The 14722-nt window shown below is 42.8% G+C and overlaps 1 protein-coding gene across 62 annotated transcripts in view, besides 2 other annotated features; it reads left to right on the top strand.

Annotated features, from left to right (window-relative positions):
- The window catches only part of IKZF1 (IKAROS family zinc finger 1), a 101647-nt gene that overhangs the window by 63140 nt on the left and 23785 nt on the right, over window positions 1-14722 (top strand). For 18 of the 62 annotated variants that reach the window (XM_011515061.4, XM_047419723.1, XM_011515070.3 and 15 more), the window contains one exon: window positions 9939-10199. The exons of 19 other annotated variants lie outside the window; for them this stretch is intronic. In XM_011515061.4, coding sequence (XP_011513363.1) covers window positions 9939-10199 — 261 coding nt within the window. Of the gene's footprint in view, window positions 1-1411; window positions 2853-2927; window positions 3246-3449; window positions 3727-9938; window positions 10200-14722 lie in introns of those variants that run through there. 25 more of the 62 variants (XM_011515058.3, XM_011515059.4, XM_011515067.4 and 22 more) reach the window with 5 other exon arrangements.
- Window positions 12174-12680: an enhancer, noted in NCBI's record as "H3K27ac hESC enhancer chr7:50446466-50446972 (GRCh37/hg19 assembly coordinates)". NCBI's record gives its function as "activates a minimal SCP1, AML or CMV promoter by ChIP-STARR-seq in naive and primed H9 embryonic stem cells {active_cell/tissue: H9 hESC(naive and primed)}" and the evidence as "EXISTENCE:reporter gene assay evidence [ECO:0000049][PMID:30033119]".
- Window positions 12681-13186: an enhancer, noted in NCBI's record as "NANOG-H3K27ac hESC enhancer chr7:50446973-50447478 (GRCh37/hg19 assembly coordinates)". NCBI's record gives its function as "activates a minimal SCP1, AML or CMV promoter by ChIP-STARR-seq in naive and primed H9 embryonic stem cells {active_cell/tissue: H9 hESC(naive and primed)}" and the evidence as "EXISTENCE:reporter gene assay evidence [ECO:0000049][PMID:30033119]".

The following is a 14722-nucleotide window of genomic DNA, read 5'->3' on the forward strand; positions in this document are numbered from 1 at the left end:
AGCACCATATCAGCATGATCAGCAATATAAGTAGTATCTCAGTGCTTTGTTGTTTAGTCAGAGTTTTGTACTCTATCACCCATTGTAATGTTCCTATTTGCAAAAGGTAATACATACCCTTTAAAACATCTTTGCTTTTTCTCCCATTATCGAGATGCTAGCAGCTTCATAAAGCAGAATAACTAAGGGCAAACAGATTATATAAAGGGTTGGAGCTCAATGAAGACAACAAGAACAGCAAAGGTTATTGTAAAACTGGCTGCTTGCAGGCCAACAAGCACATCCATATGGAGGCAATCAGTTTATGCTACCTCTGTCTGTTTGATGGGATTCATAATATTGACTTTATCCATTAGATTTGGACTACCAGGGAATAAAATAAGCAGATGGAGAGTAAGGATTTGCTAGGAAATAATTCAGCCAGTCACTTTGAAAGCTGTTCAAGAAACAGCTTTCAAAGTGTCTCTCAAACTATGTTTGCCCATTATCCCAATAATTTATTTCCCAATAATTTCATGGGAAAAGAAGGAAGTTCTGTGGTCAGATAAATCTGGAAAACACTGGTTTAAGCAAAGTTCAGTAGGTCTGCTTCCCTGCAGGTCACCTCAGAGTCTTTACTCTGCTAACCTAGGAACTCATCCAACAAGTTTAATTTAACAGCTACACTGTGTACGTCACTTTAACAGTCACTGAGCTGTGACTCTTGGGGGAAAGATTGTGCGTGTGTGTGTGTGTGTGTACACATGTGTGCACATGTGCAGAATCTACCAAATCTTAAGAGAAAGGAACATGCTGGGAAACTGTCCTGTGAAAGAGAATAGAAACCTGAAGATTTGAGGCAGTGATAGCATTTATGAAAGCAGCAGATAAGGACTAATCACCAAAAGGGGTAGCTCTTTTGTTGGTTGGGGAAAACAGGAATTTTTCCCCCACCCAATGTGCTGCATTTTCTAATTTTCTATGAACACTTCCTAAGAAAAAGCTGAATGAAGAACATTTGCGATGCAATCAGCTCATTAAGAAACACGCACTTTTGTGGAGATACGTGCTGTCCCAGGAGATGCTCTGCGAGGAGCCGAGTGTTTGGACTGGAGCTGCTGAATGGTTTCTCACAGTTCTAGAATGTTTGGGGCTGCACCCTCTAAGATGTTGAACCCATCAGTAATTGCTCCAAACCACTTTATGGGATATAATGCTGTGAGTTGACACCTGAGGGGATTGTGGTCCTGTTCATGAGTAATTACTTTTCTGTTGCCTATAGAAGGGCCAGCAATAGCAGATGAGTAGCTGAACAGTGGTTTTGAGTAATAAAACGTTCTTTTTTAAAAAAAAGTAATGCTTTCTGTTAAACTCTGACTATACTCTCTCCTGGTATCACAACCCAGCTTTCTTTTTGCCTTCTTTATTGCAGTTACATATGGGGCTGATGACTTTAGGGATTTCCATGCAATAATTCCCAAATCTTTCTCTCGTAAGTATATGCCTTGCTTCTGGAAAACAAAAGCATGCCTTCATCTCCTATCATGTAAATATCGTACGTGCATGTTCCTTCATCAACCCCCGAGATACATTAAATATTCACTGTTCTATTCGTTAGACACCTACCATATCATTTTTGGGTATTTATACCATAAAGTGCAAAACGAAGGTCTAGGCAGTTGTGCGGTGTCCTGGGAGCATGGCAGTGGAGTAACAGTAAGGGTTGGAGTCACAGTAGCACTGATGGGATTGTTACTTCGCAGATGCTGCTGGACAGCTTTGAGATTACTCCTGTAATCCTTTTTATTGAGTGTGAGGATAAAATGGCCATATTTTCTGTCACCAACAAAGAACTGAACATGGTTTCAAGATAATTTTTACAATTTTGTGGGACAGGAGAAGGAGATATGCTCTTCATCTGTGGTTCTGGAGTATTAATTTCAGAACTGAGAAGAGAAAATTGCAGGCCTCCAGGCCGTTATTCTGTGGTGCATCGCTGCTGGAGCCAACGTACTGTTCCTGCTTGGTGCCCGCAGGACCTTCTCTGATCTGAGCTGTTAAACCAAAAACAGATGTGAATTTCATTTTTCTTTTTTAGATATTGAGCTGATAAATGATAAATATATTTGGGTAACATCCTCAAATGAGTACTTTAAAGAACAGAGAGTGCTTTTGAAAATGTATAGAGAGCTGAATATTTAAAGCCATACAAGTTGATAATCCCCTTAGGACCTGTATTAGTAAATCCTCTAATACTATAAAGCAACATCAGAAAACAGGTCGCATTTGTTAACACTGTGACAATTATAATTATAGGCTCTAATTTGAACAGTGCCAGTAACAGTTAAAGACAGGTGTCTGACATCCTGGTTATCAAAAACTATCTGGTGTCTAAGGAATTTAACAGTATCAAAGTACATCTTTTTGCTCACAAACTAGATTGGCTACTTTTCCAGCCTATAGAAGTTACAGAAATCTTTCTTTTACTGATATTCCTTTGATTCCACTTTAAAGCAATAGCTTGATACCTACTTTTTGAGATGTATATGTATGTACTTGTAAATGCTTATATATGTGTATTTGTTTACACGTGAGCTTATATGAACATATAAAACATTATGGTATTGGACAGAGAAATGATATTGATTTGAAGAATCATATTGTTGAAGTATTTTGAGAAGTCAAATGCACTTGAGAGTAAGCTAATGCATCCTAAAACATGTTTCTGTGAAGTCTGAGGAAGGTGTCAGCCAGAGCATATGTTGAAGCAGACCCTTCAGTGAAGCCTTCAGTCTGTAAGAATCGCTGCATGTGAAGATGTGTTAATGTTATGATAGTTACAGTTTTTATAAAAGAGATGATATACACTTGGATATGCTTTCTGTCTATATTTATGCAAATGTGTCCATAAGGTATTGGTGTCTCTCTTTCTCTCCCACTCTCCCCAGTGTTGGAATTGTGACTATCTTCTCACACAAGCGGCTACTTGGTCTTGATGCCTTCCCCCGCAAAACAGCAACCAAACTGTTCTGGGCCAATATCACCACCTTGTGGTCATGATGAAGAATTGCCCCCTTTGCCCTCAACACCTCTTTTCTTCTTGAAAATTAAAAACAACCCCTTTCACCCCCTCTACTGTCCTTATTCCAGTTTGTGTCCGTAGTTGCTGGAGGAAAGAAAATGCCTATTGCTCTTTTTTTTATTCTCTTTATCTGTTTACTCTTCTGCCTTTCTTTTCTCTCCCTGACTTCATTCCATTTAAAGGCCTTAAATTGCAAATAACGAAAAAAGTATTTTCTAATAATATACCCTAGTGGGACGAAAACAACCTTCTACATTTTAAATGATATTAAGTTATAATAAATGGTTCCATGAACTTTAAAACGCTTAAAAGTTTTATAAATCTCTTTTAGAGGCAACACAAAAATATCTATATATATATCTTCTCTTCACCTCAAATTTTCATTTAATTACCGTGATTCAAGATATATCTTAAATATTTCCATTTCATTTGATTTTTACTTGCTAGTCACCAGTGTTGCAAGAATATTTCTGTACCATTTTTCAAGTAAAATATTGAGCATTTCAAGCTTACATGGCCTAAACTCACACTAGAGTGACTACTTCGGACTATCTTTTCAATGGAAAAATGCGTTCTGAGTACCAAACATTTACTTTTTCAGTAAATATGAAGACACATTCTAAAAAGGAAAGGGAAATGAAGAGGAAGCTTAATTCATTGGTCAGGTGGGGACTAACAGTGTACATTATACCTATGCATTAAAAAATGTTTAATTATCCATGAGCACATACAGTGCCTGGCACAGATTCAGGCCTCTTGGCTCCTCTTGGCATCTGAGTTCCTTGGATTCTCCAGATTCTTCAATCCAAACTTGTCTATCTACCAAAGTCCACCTTCCATACAGGGGTGTGGGGTCTCTCTTAGTACTGTTGGGTGCCAATAACATAGAAGCCCTCCAAGATAGGTCAATGAGATTTTAATTTTTCCCAACTTTAAATAGCATCTGGGAAGGAAAGCAGCTTTTGACTAGGAGTTTGAAAACATCCACTCTTCATATTTATTGTCACATTTATTGAGTAATAAAATTGGGCTCTTGTCCATTATCTCTCAGTCAATGAAAGAGCCCACGGTGGGCATGAGCCAGAGTGTTCCGGAGAAAGAGAGGACCAGTCTCCATTTCATGTTCTATATTTAATCAGTTCAATTCAGCACCTTACTGAGTTTGACATTTTTCTAAGTAATGGGGTGGGGGGTTACAAAATATTTATAACTATCTTTCCTATCTTCAGGGAGATGTACCATTTCACTGAAGCAATACCACAGCTAAGCAGTTCCAGCTCCGAGTAACAGAGGAAGGAGTGAGCGATTTAGGAACTCACAGAAGGGCACGGCCAGGCAACTCGGGCCCTGGCAAATGTTCCATAGAGACAGCATCCATGGGGTTGAACCAAGCACAATGCCTGCAAATCGGGCAGGCGGGTTCATGGAATTGATTCTAGGGCAGGTATGATCAGCACCATTTAAGGAGTGGCAGTTGTTAAGAAACTGAAGGGATTTCTCATATGGCATTTTCAACAGAATTCAGCAGGAGCCTTGCATATCCCTTGGGATGGGTTCCGGGGTATTATGGAGCTGCCAGGAGGTGCTCAGCTTCAGTAAGTGCCAGTCATTCCTTCCCAACCTCCTCCTTCATTAGTGGAAGTATCAGCTGGTGTCATTGCCTTCTTCAGGAGGATGGATTTCAAAATGAAGGGCCAACAAAACTCACATTCTCGCAGAGCCTCCGTCACAACTGCATGTGTTCACTGCCATCAACAGGCCAACACCCACTTGTTCTTTTCTTCTAGGTAAAGGAAAAGGTCTGTGGGACAAAGGCCCTGAACTCCTCACTCCTTGAATGGGAGGCATATTGGTGGAGGCTGTCACACAACTACAGGTGGCAGGAACCTGCCATCAGGGTTCCCATCAGCCTCCAGGGCTTGCTTCTCTGCCCTGTGTGTGGACACCTTCCATCACTGGAAACCCCTCTCTCAGAAGAACCACTTCTTGCCCTCATCTCCCACTTGCCTCTCCTCGGCACCTTCTCCACCCTCAGGGGCCAAGCTGAGGAAGTGTGCATCCTGTGCCACCAACCTTGCTCGCAGGAATTAGTTTCAGTCCCCAGTGACTGACTCTTCCAAACCTGCACCAGCCTATGCTGCCCTTTTGAAAGGAGGCGTGCGTACAGCCTGGCTGGTACAGAAGATTCCAGATTTCAGTGACTACAGGACGCTGTCACCCCTTCTGTTTTTCTTTTTTCTGTCCACATCTCTGATTGAGCATACCTTCAGGGAAAACCCCAGAAACCTTTTTCACACTTACATGGGAAGCCAAGACACTCTCATCCTGGGCTTGTGTTTTTAAAATCTATATTTTAATTTCACAGGTCCTTACATTTATGACTAATAGATTTCAGATTTTGAGATACAATCTGTAGTTGCAACTTATGAAGATAGTTTCAAGCCCTGATTTCTGTCATCTATGAAAACAGTAAGCAAGTTGCTTGTATTCTCCTCCTAGCTGGATAAGAGACCCCCGTTTTCATGGACAGCCTCCTTGGGTGGACAGAAGTCTCCTGATCTTGTCTATGTAACCAGCACCCACTTTGCATTTTTCCGCAAAGAAAAGAGGAGCTTAACCCCATTTACGGGAAATCCACGCACTGCTTGAATCTTACGCGCCCCGTGGTGACGGTGTTGCCCACTCTGTTCCCTTCCCACCAAATCCTGCCAGCACCTGGCAGTCATCCAGTCCTTGTCTTAGACTTCACCAACCTTTCCCGTCATAACATGGCTTAGAAGTTGTCCGAATAGTGCTAGAAGCTTTCAGCCCTGGAATGCTCAGCATCTGCCATCTAACTTCCATTTAAAACGTTTTGAGCATTTGCTGATACAGGTTCCTCTGTCCTTTCCCCATTATTTTCAGTTCCTTGGCCTTGCCCATAGTGATCTGTGGATATTGTCTGCATACTCTTTTTTAGAAACCTAGAGCATCGCAGTGTCCTTAATTTTCCTCTTCAAACTCTATATATTCCTGAGCTGATCATCCCTACTGCTGTTCCTACAGAACTGTGTGACTAATCTTCTATATATGTCCCTACATCTAGCCATCTAGGTGGAGATCTAGGTACCTATCTCCCTAAAATTGTACTTGGTATCCACATTGACCTCAGGACAGTATGTGATAGGCTCTTGTGCCTTTTCGACTAGGAGTTTGAAAACATCCACTCTTCATATTTATTGTCACATTTGTTGAATAATAAAATTGGGCTCTTGTCCATTATGTCTCAGTCAGTGAAAGAGCCCAGGGTGGGCCTGAGCCAGAGTGTTTGTGTCCCTAGTTCTCTTTTGGTTCTGTTACAGCTCTCAGTGACAGTGTCATTGAGGCTAACAAGGACAGAGTACTGCTTTCAGCCACCATTTGTCCAATGAGTGGCTGATCTCCAGGCCTCTGGCTTTGAGAACATCTGTGATATCTAAGGCAGCATCCATTGTGGGCTTTCCCCCATGCTTCTGTTTCCTTCCTGTCACATAGCTTTGCCTCCTCCTGCAAGCAGCCTGCTGTAGCAGAACCGGTGTTCCTGAAGCCAGAAACCCAAAGGTCGTGTCCAATGCTTCCCTGCTGTTCTGCTCCCCACCTGCAAGCGCCCACACACTGATCAACAGCACACGCCATAGAGCATGCCAAAGAATCCCAGAAATACTCATTCTTAATGATCCAGAAGAACAAGTGATAGCTTCTGGCAAGTTCTAATAGGCCATATGTGCCCATGGGAAAGCAAGAGTCAATTCTCTCTAGCTGGTTGCCTCTGAATTTATGAAGTCAAGCCGCGTAGGGGAACATGCCAAGAGGATTATCCCAATGCCTGTTCTGCGTGGTGTCCTTTTTCTAGCCTCGGAAGCACTAGGCCTACACCTTCGCTATAGCCCTCGTCTTAGCGCCTGTATTTGAAAAACTTGCCACACCAATCTTAATTTGCTCCATTGTGTTCTAATCTCATTTTAAAAACCACAAGGTAAATGATTAAAAATAATCTTAGATTAAGGAGTACACAGATCTTTGCAGCCTCATTGTGTTTCCAGAGCGGGCTAGTGTAGACACTGGTGAACAAGGAGGGCCTAGAGAATTAGCTTTCTCCCAGAAAGATGCACAGCCTCTACCTGAGAGTACCAATTCCAGAGAACTCAATGGTCATTAAGCACCATTGCCTCGACAGCCAGCCAGCCTCACTTGCCTGCCTATCTCCTTTATTTTCCAAGTATCTTGTCCCTGGCAGTGGGGAGAGGTTAGCAGGAGGCTGCTCAGATGCTCTCGGTCTCTGATCTTCAGGATCTGAAGGGGAGAGCATTTGAAGAATCCCCATTGCTGGATTTCTCAGGACAATCCTGCATAATGCCAGGATCTGATGGAGGAGACAGGCAGCTCTGTTAATCCTCTGGTGCATCCTCACTTCTGTGGTCTCCAAGTCCACCATGTCCCAGTTAATTCATTTCATTATTCATCTGTAAGTCATTTCCCTAAAGAGCTAATAAGAAAACACTGGCAGTACAATCAGCCCTCCATATCCATGGGTTCAGCCTCTGGAAATTCAACCCACTGTGGCTTGAAAATACAGTATTCAAGAGACATGGAACCTGTGGATATAGAAGGCAGATTTTTCGTATCCATAGGTTCTATAGGGCCATTTTAGGGACTTGCACATCTACAGACCTTCAGGAGTCTCAGAACTGATGCACTGCAGATACCAAGAGATGACTGTAAGTGGTTAGGAATTTGGATGCTGGGGCCAGGCTGCCTGCAGTTACCTTCCAGCTCTGCCACTTGCCAGCTATGTGACCTTAGCAAGTTGTTCAACCTCTCTGTGCCTTGGCTTCTTCAACTGTAAAATAGGATAATGATAGCACTTCCCTTATGGAGTCCTTGTGAAGGTTAAATGGCAGAGTACAATTAATGTGCTGTGTGCCCAGCGTGTGGTATTGGGGTTAGGTGAAAGACTGTACTGGGATCACTGGGGGTGAGCCTCCATGTGCCATGCCCCAACCACTATCCTCAGCTAACTTCTTGTCTGTCAGTGTTAGGCTGGTGCTATAATAATTTCCATTTTCATGGATGAGGAAATCAAGGCACAGAGAAGTTACATGACTTGCCTAAGATCTCAGTGCTTTTAAATAGTGCAGCTAAGATTCCAGACCAGGTATTTTTATTTCAGTGTCTGGACTGTAGATCTCTAAATCGAGAGGAACTCCCTGAATAAAATAAGCTTGGAGTGCTGTTAACTAAGTTGGTTATTTAAGACAGTTGTTCTCAGTCCTCAGTGTACATTAGAATCTTCTGGAGGGTATGTTAAAACAGACTGCTGGGCCCACCGAGAGTTCCTGAGCCTGCAACTCTGGGTTGAGCCTGAGAGTCTGTGCTTCTAGTAAGTTCTCAGGTGATGCTTATGCTGCTTCTCCCAAATTTTGAGAACCATTGATTGAAAATGTTGATCAAAAATTATGTGGTCTAGGCTGAGCACAGTGGCTCACAACTGTAATCTCAACACTTTGGGAGGCCAAGTCAGGTGGATCACTGAGCTCAGGAGTTCGAGAGCAGCCTGGTCAACATGACAAGACCCATCTCTACAAAAAACACCAAAAAAAAATGGCTGGATGTGGTGGTGCACACCTGTAGTCACAACTACTGGGGAGGCTGAGGTGGGAGGATCACTTGAGCCCGGGAGACAGAGCAAGACCCTGTCTCAAAAAAGAAACATTTAGTCTTGATTGTCATCTATCTCATTGATCATTTTACTTGGCAAAATTTACCTACTTACTCTTATTAGTCTGTAAAAATGGTTATTAAAATGGTGGCTTTCAGTGTAACTACAAATTCTCTTAGTCATTATAGTGTTGGATTCACCAATGTATCATCAGTCAGTGTTTCTGAAGTGTGTAAATGAAATAACTCCTACTTTCTTTAGGAAGAAAAATATTCAAATGACATAATTACCTTGTGATGTGTGACTTAAAGGTAACAGTAATGCAGAGTCAATAGTGGTCATTGTATTCAAGACACTAAAAGTTCACCTCCCACCCCCCCCCCCCACCCACCACCCAACAAACACACAAGCTTCTTTCCCTTTGGAAAAAAAAGCTCTTCCAGATACCTACATTCATAAACTATCCCAATTAACCCTTCAGCAAGTGGAAGAAGTGTAAGAAAGGATACCTCTTCTTTAGAACACAGGGTTTGTTTTTATGTTATTTAAGATAAACAGGAATTCAAATGGTCATGTACCAAAGCAACACAAAGAACTTCCGGAAATCTGAAAGGGAACTGTGGTCAGAACTCTGAGCATTTTTATGTTTACTGAGTTTTGTCCCAAAGTTTATTAATGTTTACATGCCACAAGGAAAGGTAGCATCACAATAAGAGACGTTTTTCAGGCTTGATAACCACTTATTAGGTATTTTGCCAAACAAGTTCACACATCCTAGAGAGCTGGATTGTGTGACCCAGAACCCACCCTCTAGGGCAAGGTGCCCATCTGATGGGTAGGGTGTAGGAGTAGGCCTCAGACCACTCCTGACGTGAACCTGCTTAAAGTGAGGGCCCAATTCTAAAGTGGGAACTATGTAAATACCTTTCTAGTGCATTTTCAGATAATCGCCACTGGGCCTATGGATGGAGAGGGCTGGCAGATCTCCCTGTAACCCCAGGTGCATCCCGAGGCCTGCCACCGAAGCCCACTCAAGGCTGAATGCACGGCGAGCTCAGGCTGCTCTCCCCTTGGTATTTGCTAAGAACTTCTGTTTAGTAGCTCTCCACACCTATTTGATTGTCTTTTTGCTGCTGTGTTGTTTTGTTGAGTTTTTTTTTTGCAATGACACTGAGTGGCCTCCTGTATTGTTTCTTTCAGCCAGTAATGTTAAAGTAGAGACTCAGAGTGATGAAGAGAATGGGCGTGCCTGTGAAATGAATGGGGAAGAATGTGCGGAGGATTTACGAATGCTTGATGCCTCGGGAGAGAAAATGAATGGCTCCCACAGGGACCAAGGCAGCTCGGCTTTGTCGGGAGTTGGAGGCATTCGACTTCCTAACGGAAAACTAAAGTGTGATATCTGTGGGATCATTTGCATCGGGCCCAATGTGCTCATGGTTCACAAAAGAAGCCACACTGGTAAGGCCTGGCTCAGTTTTTCCTTTAGTGGCCTGGAGAAGGTGCATGGGGTTTGAAGGAGGAAAGCATCCTGTCTTCCTTGTGTTCTGAGCATGTTTCTAATTGACTGGTAGCTCAGTTGTTGCAAGCGATTGGTTCCAAGTGGTACCGAGTCATAGAGTCCTTGTTCTGGTACAGCCTTGTAAAGGACTTCTCAACACGTACCAATTCCACCCTATAAATAAAACAAGGGAAAAGTGAACAGCATCACATGAGAGGCTTGGCGAGGGCTGCTATTATAGTAACACATACTAAGTAGTCTCAGCTGAGCCCTCAGGGTACGTGTGCTGAGTGGTCACCCTCCACAAAACAAAAAATCCTGATACACCAAAACTTACTCCTCAAAGTTTCCACTGAGAAACCATGAGTAAAATGTGTGTTTAAATTGTATCCAAACTAACAGGGTTTGATGTTTAGAAACAATAATCAATGATGGAATAGCAGCAAAATCGAGTTTTCAGAAAGACCTCAGATGAGCTTTCAAATGGCTTGCCCTCTAACAGGAAAGACTTTGAATCAGATGCTTCTATTGCCACTGGTTATCAGCTCAAATTCCTAAAGAACTTCATCCCAAATACCCTGTCTTGCTGAAAGGTTTACTGGAAGTATAAGAGAATGTCATGTTCTGTGTCCAGAAAGGAAGGAACACGGGCACCCTAGTGTCAGCGAGTTGTGCTCAGGCTCACAGGATGCCCCCTCACCAGAGGCGTGGGAACACGGCGAGCCCCAGCTGGCCGCGCTCTGCCACTGTTTCTAATAGCCGGTCACGTTGATGGAAGTGTCACAGAGTTGTCCAACAGAACTGTCCAGTCAGAAAACCACCACTCATGGTGCTGGAGTGTCTTAGAAGTAAAATATGAATAACACACACTTATTTAACTATAGGCAGGAGGTTTCTTATGAATTGAAGAGAAACTTTTCTTTGCGTGGGAAGCTGTTCTAAAGTTGGGTAAAACACAATAGATCCACCACCTCTAGCAGCCACTGATAGCTGAAACGTGAAACATAGAGACCCTAAGCTATCACTGCCTCTGAGCTGGCATTGTTAGGTCATCATAAAGCTAGCGTCTCCCACTGCAAAACCCAAGAGGAAAAAAATAGTTGAAAATCCTATTTTAAAGGCCTAGCAGATTCTATAAGATACCTTGGGAAAATGATGACGATGACTTGAAATCAGACCCTCGTATGCTGCTTCCGTGGGGGCGAACAAAAATATGTTCATCAAAAATTAAGCAGAAATGCAGAAAATTTTGTGAGCCAAAAAAGCTGTGTTATCAGGAAATGCAGATATTTGTGGGGTTGTAATTTTTTATATTTGAATCGGGCGGTTTTCAAAATGATCTATTCCATTTGTAGTGTATCTGAAAACCTATAAAAATAAGTTGATATCAATAGATATCCATCTTCCATAAAAATTCAACTTCTAAAATTAAGCAAACTTTGCTTTTTCTAATGGCCCCTTTATCCTCAAATTACCCACTGAAATAGACGGATCACACTCAGCCCTAAGTGAAGCAAGCGTGCATGAGAGTAGTCCCAGCCTCGCCTTTGTAATGAGGTGGAAATTAACATGAAGGTAGGCTACCCTGTGATAGACACTTAACAGGATACTCGGGGACCCATGGTAATACATCCCTGATAAGGAATAGACCTCACAAATGAACTACTTGCCTGTTAATTCATTTAAAGCCTGACTGTACAGTGAAAATTCTCTTAAATAAATATTTGATAAGTGAATCAAATTCTGGCTTACTAAATTGCCAAAATATAATGACTGCCTGCCTTGATAAAAAGAATAATTACATTTAATGAATAAACCTGCCAAGTACAGATATGCCAGGTGGCACCTGCTGTTTGCTGCTCACTTCTCCCAACAAATAGCAGCTAGGTGCCACCTGCACACCAATAAGCTGAGTTTTTCACTTACGGAACAAATAACTTTCAGAAGTCAATTTTATAGTTTCTGCCTTGCCCTTTGTTAAAAAAATACACACACTTGAAGCAATGAACTCATGAATTGTTTTCATCATGCATTTCCACTTGCCTAAATATAAAGGGTCCCAGGTAGATACAGAAATACCTGGTTTGGCCAAACTTGGTTTGAATAACTAGACATGCTAGAAAAGGTTTTCATTTTCCTGGGATCTGAGTGGAATATGTTAGAAAAGGCATGCTTTCTGAATTCTCTATGCTTAAAACATTTCTAGAGCAGTGCTTCTCAAACTTGAAAGAGCATGTAAATCACCTGAGATCTCGTGAACATACAACTCTGCTTCAGACCTGGGGGGAGGCAGGAGAGCAAGCATTCCTAACAAGCTCCCAGCTTGTGGAGCACAGAGCCGCCTCAGGCAGCAGGGCAGTGCAGCTGAGCAGTGACAGTGAACAGGGCCATTCAGAGGGCTCTCCACCTGGGGCTTAGGTACGACGGGAATCCCCACTGGACAGGCTAGGACTTGCACTGTGGCCATTGTTCCTCCTCCTGCCCATGGCTGAGTCAGCTTCTCAGTCCCTTCCAGGATACACTGAGAGGATTCAGGGGCGGTCTCGCCTCTGCCCATATCCCCACGTTGGTGAAGTACCACTGGCGCCATTTTCTAATCAGCTCATCGGCACCAGCACGTCACTTCCCCTGTTGTGCAGCTCAGTTTTATATTTCTGACTCGGGTGTAATAGTAACATCTTCCCCACCAATGTCTCAGGGTTATTGTGAGAACCAGAGAGGAGAGAGGTAGGAAGGAAGCAGGAAATGCAGGGTGCAAATACACCACATTATTATTCTAAATAATGGGATTTTTAATAACAAAGACCAAGAAGATTGTCTGTGCCTATCTAGTTCCCATCTGTAAGATAAAAAGGTGCAGTCCCTGAGCCTCCTAAAAACAGCACCCTAATGGCACTGCTCCTCCCAGGTATGATTGCAGTAGACCTACGTCAGTTCTTGCAGTTCAAACACATTTTTTCACTTTCTTCTGAAATGCCCTCAAATTCTATGACATAGTATCCATGAAGACTTCCCTTTTTACCCAGTGAAGTTACTAGAGGGGGTTCAAACCTTCTTACAGAGGGTTCCTAAAATGGGAGATCTGTGGAGTCATTGGGATTAAAAATTAAATTTCAAATTCATGACATCAATGTCCTCATCCCAGTTAAATAAAAGTAAATACAACCTTGAAGAAATTTGACCTACTCAGCTGCAATAGCTGTTGACCTGCAGAAGGCAAATGATGGACCCCGGCCACGCAAGAACACACATGGCGTGGGCTGCGTTCTTGTGCCCCAGCTCCATGGACGTGTCTTCTTAGCTGTGGACCCCTCCAAAGGAAACTGCTTGAGTGGAGTGCTCTGTATTGTCACTCCTGGGAATGCTCTCTTAACACCCCCATGCCTTGTGCTATGTGTTCATACCAGCATAGGCACTCAGAAGCAAAAAAGGTTTCCAGTGAAATTTGTTTGCAGGCAGGTATTAAGACATCAGACACTGCAGGATCCAAGTGAACCCCTGCCCGCCTGCCTGCCTGCCCTGCTCTGCTCTGCAGAAGGGCATGTGTCTGTAGCAATCTGCCCTTTCTGTCTGCGATGGGCAGAGACCCTGGCTCTGCCTCCTGTTTTCCCTGTAGCCCTCCAGACCTGGGGAGAGACATGGGACTCCAGCACCTGCCCAGCACGGAAGGGGGTCTTTCCCAGGTGTAAGTGTAGGGCTGCATTCACTAATTTAGGGTCATACCACAAACACTGTTGTGTCACCAGGATGTTGTCACATGCTTATTGTGAGCATTTTTGTGACATGAGCTTTCTCCTGAGAGGCCACCCTGTCCAAATGAGAGCTGTAGTTGGAGGCACATCCGTCTCATGCTGCCTGGGTCTCCCTGCACCAGCTCACTCTACTTTTCCTTTTTATCCACTTGGAGTTAAATGCACACATTTATGCACAAGTGCACAGAAGGCCCAGAACTGTTCCTAATAGATAATTAAATGATCTCTCTCCAGTGGAAACTCTCCTGGGCTACCTGGCTGCTAGCTGTTTTAGCCTCTTCATCCAGTATTGATTTACATGCATCGGTTTGTAACTCAGACAGTATAGTTAGTTAGTTTGTTTCACCATCACCTTCCAACCTGCTTACGTTTAAACTCCTTCTCTCTGCTTAGCTAATACAGATTTCTGTAAGGATTTGGAGAAATACCAGATACCTCCTGGTTAGTATCAGGACCTCTCCATTGGCCTATAATTGAACATCACTGTAAATTAGTTTCAGCTTTTATAGTAATGCATCTAACCCGCCAGCTTAAAAAAAAAGTGATGATAATCATGAAATTCAAGTGTCAATATAGACTTTTAAATCTGGTGTGGATGTTAATAGTGCCAGATATGCTTCTGTGTAATCATTTTTGAGAAGTGCTGTCTTCTTTACCATAATCACATTAATCAATCGGGAAATGGTTAAATAGACATTTTAATACATTGTTTTTTCCTGAGAAAAAAAGTG

This window comes from Homo sapiens, chromosome 7 (genome assembly GCF_000001405.40).
Source record: "Homo sapiens chromosome 7, GRCh38.p14 Primary Assembly".
Classification (NCBI taxonomy): Eukaryota; Metazoa; Chordata; class Mammalia; order Primates; family Hominidae; genus Homo; species Homo sapiens.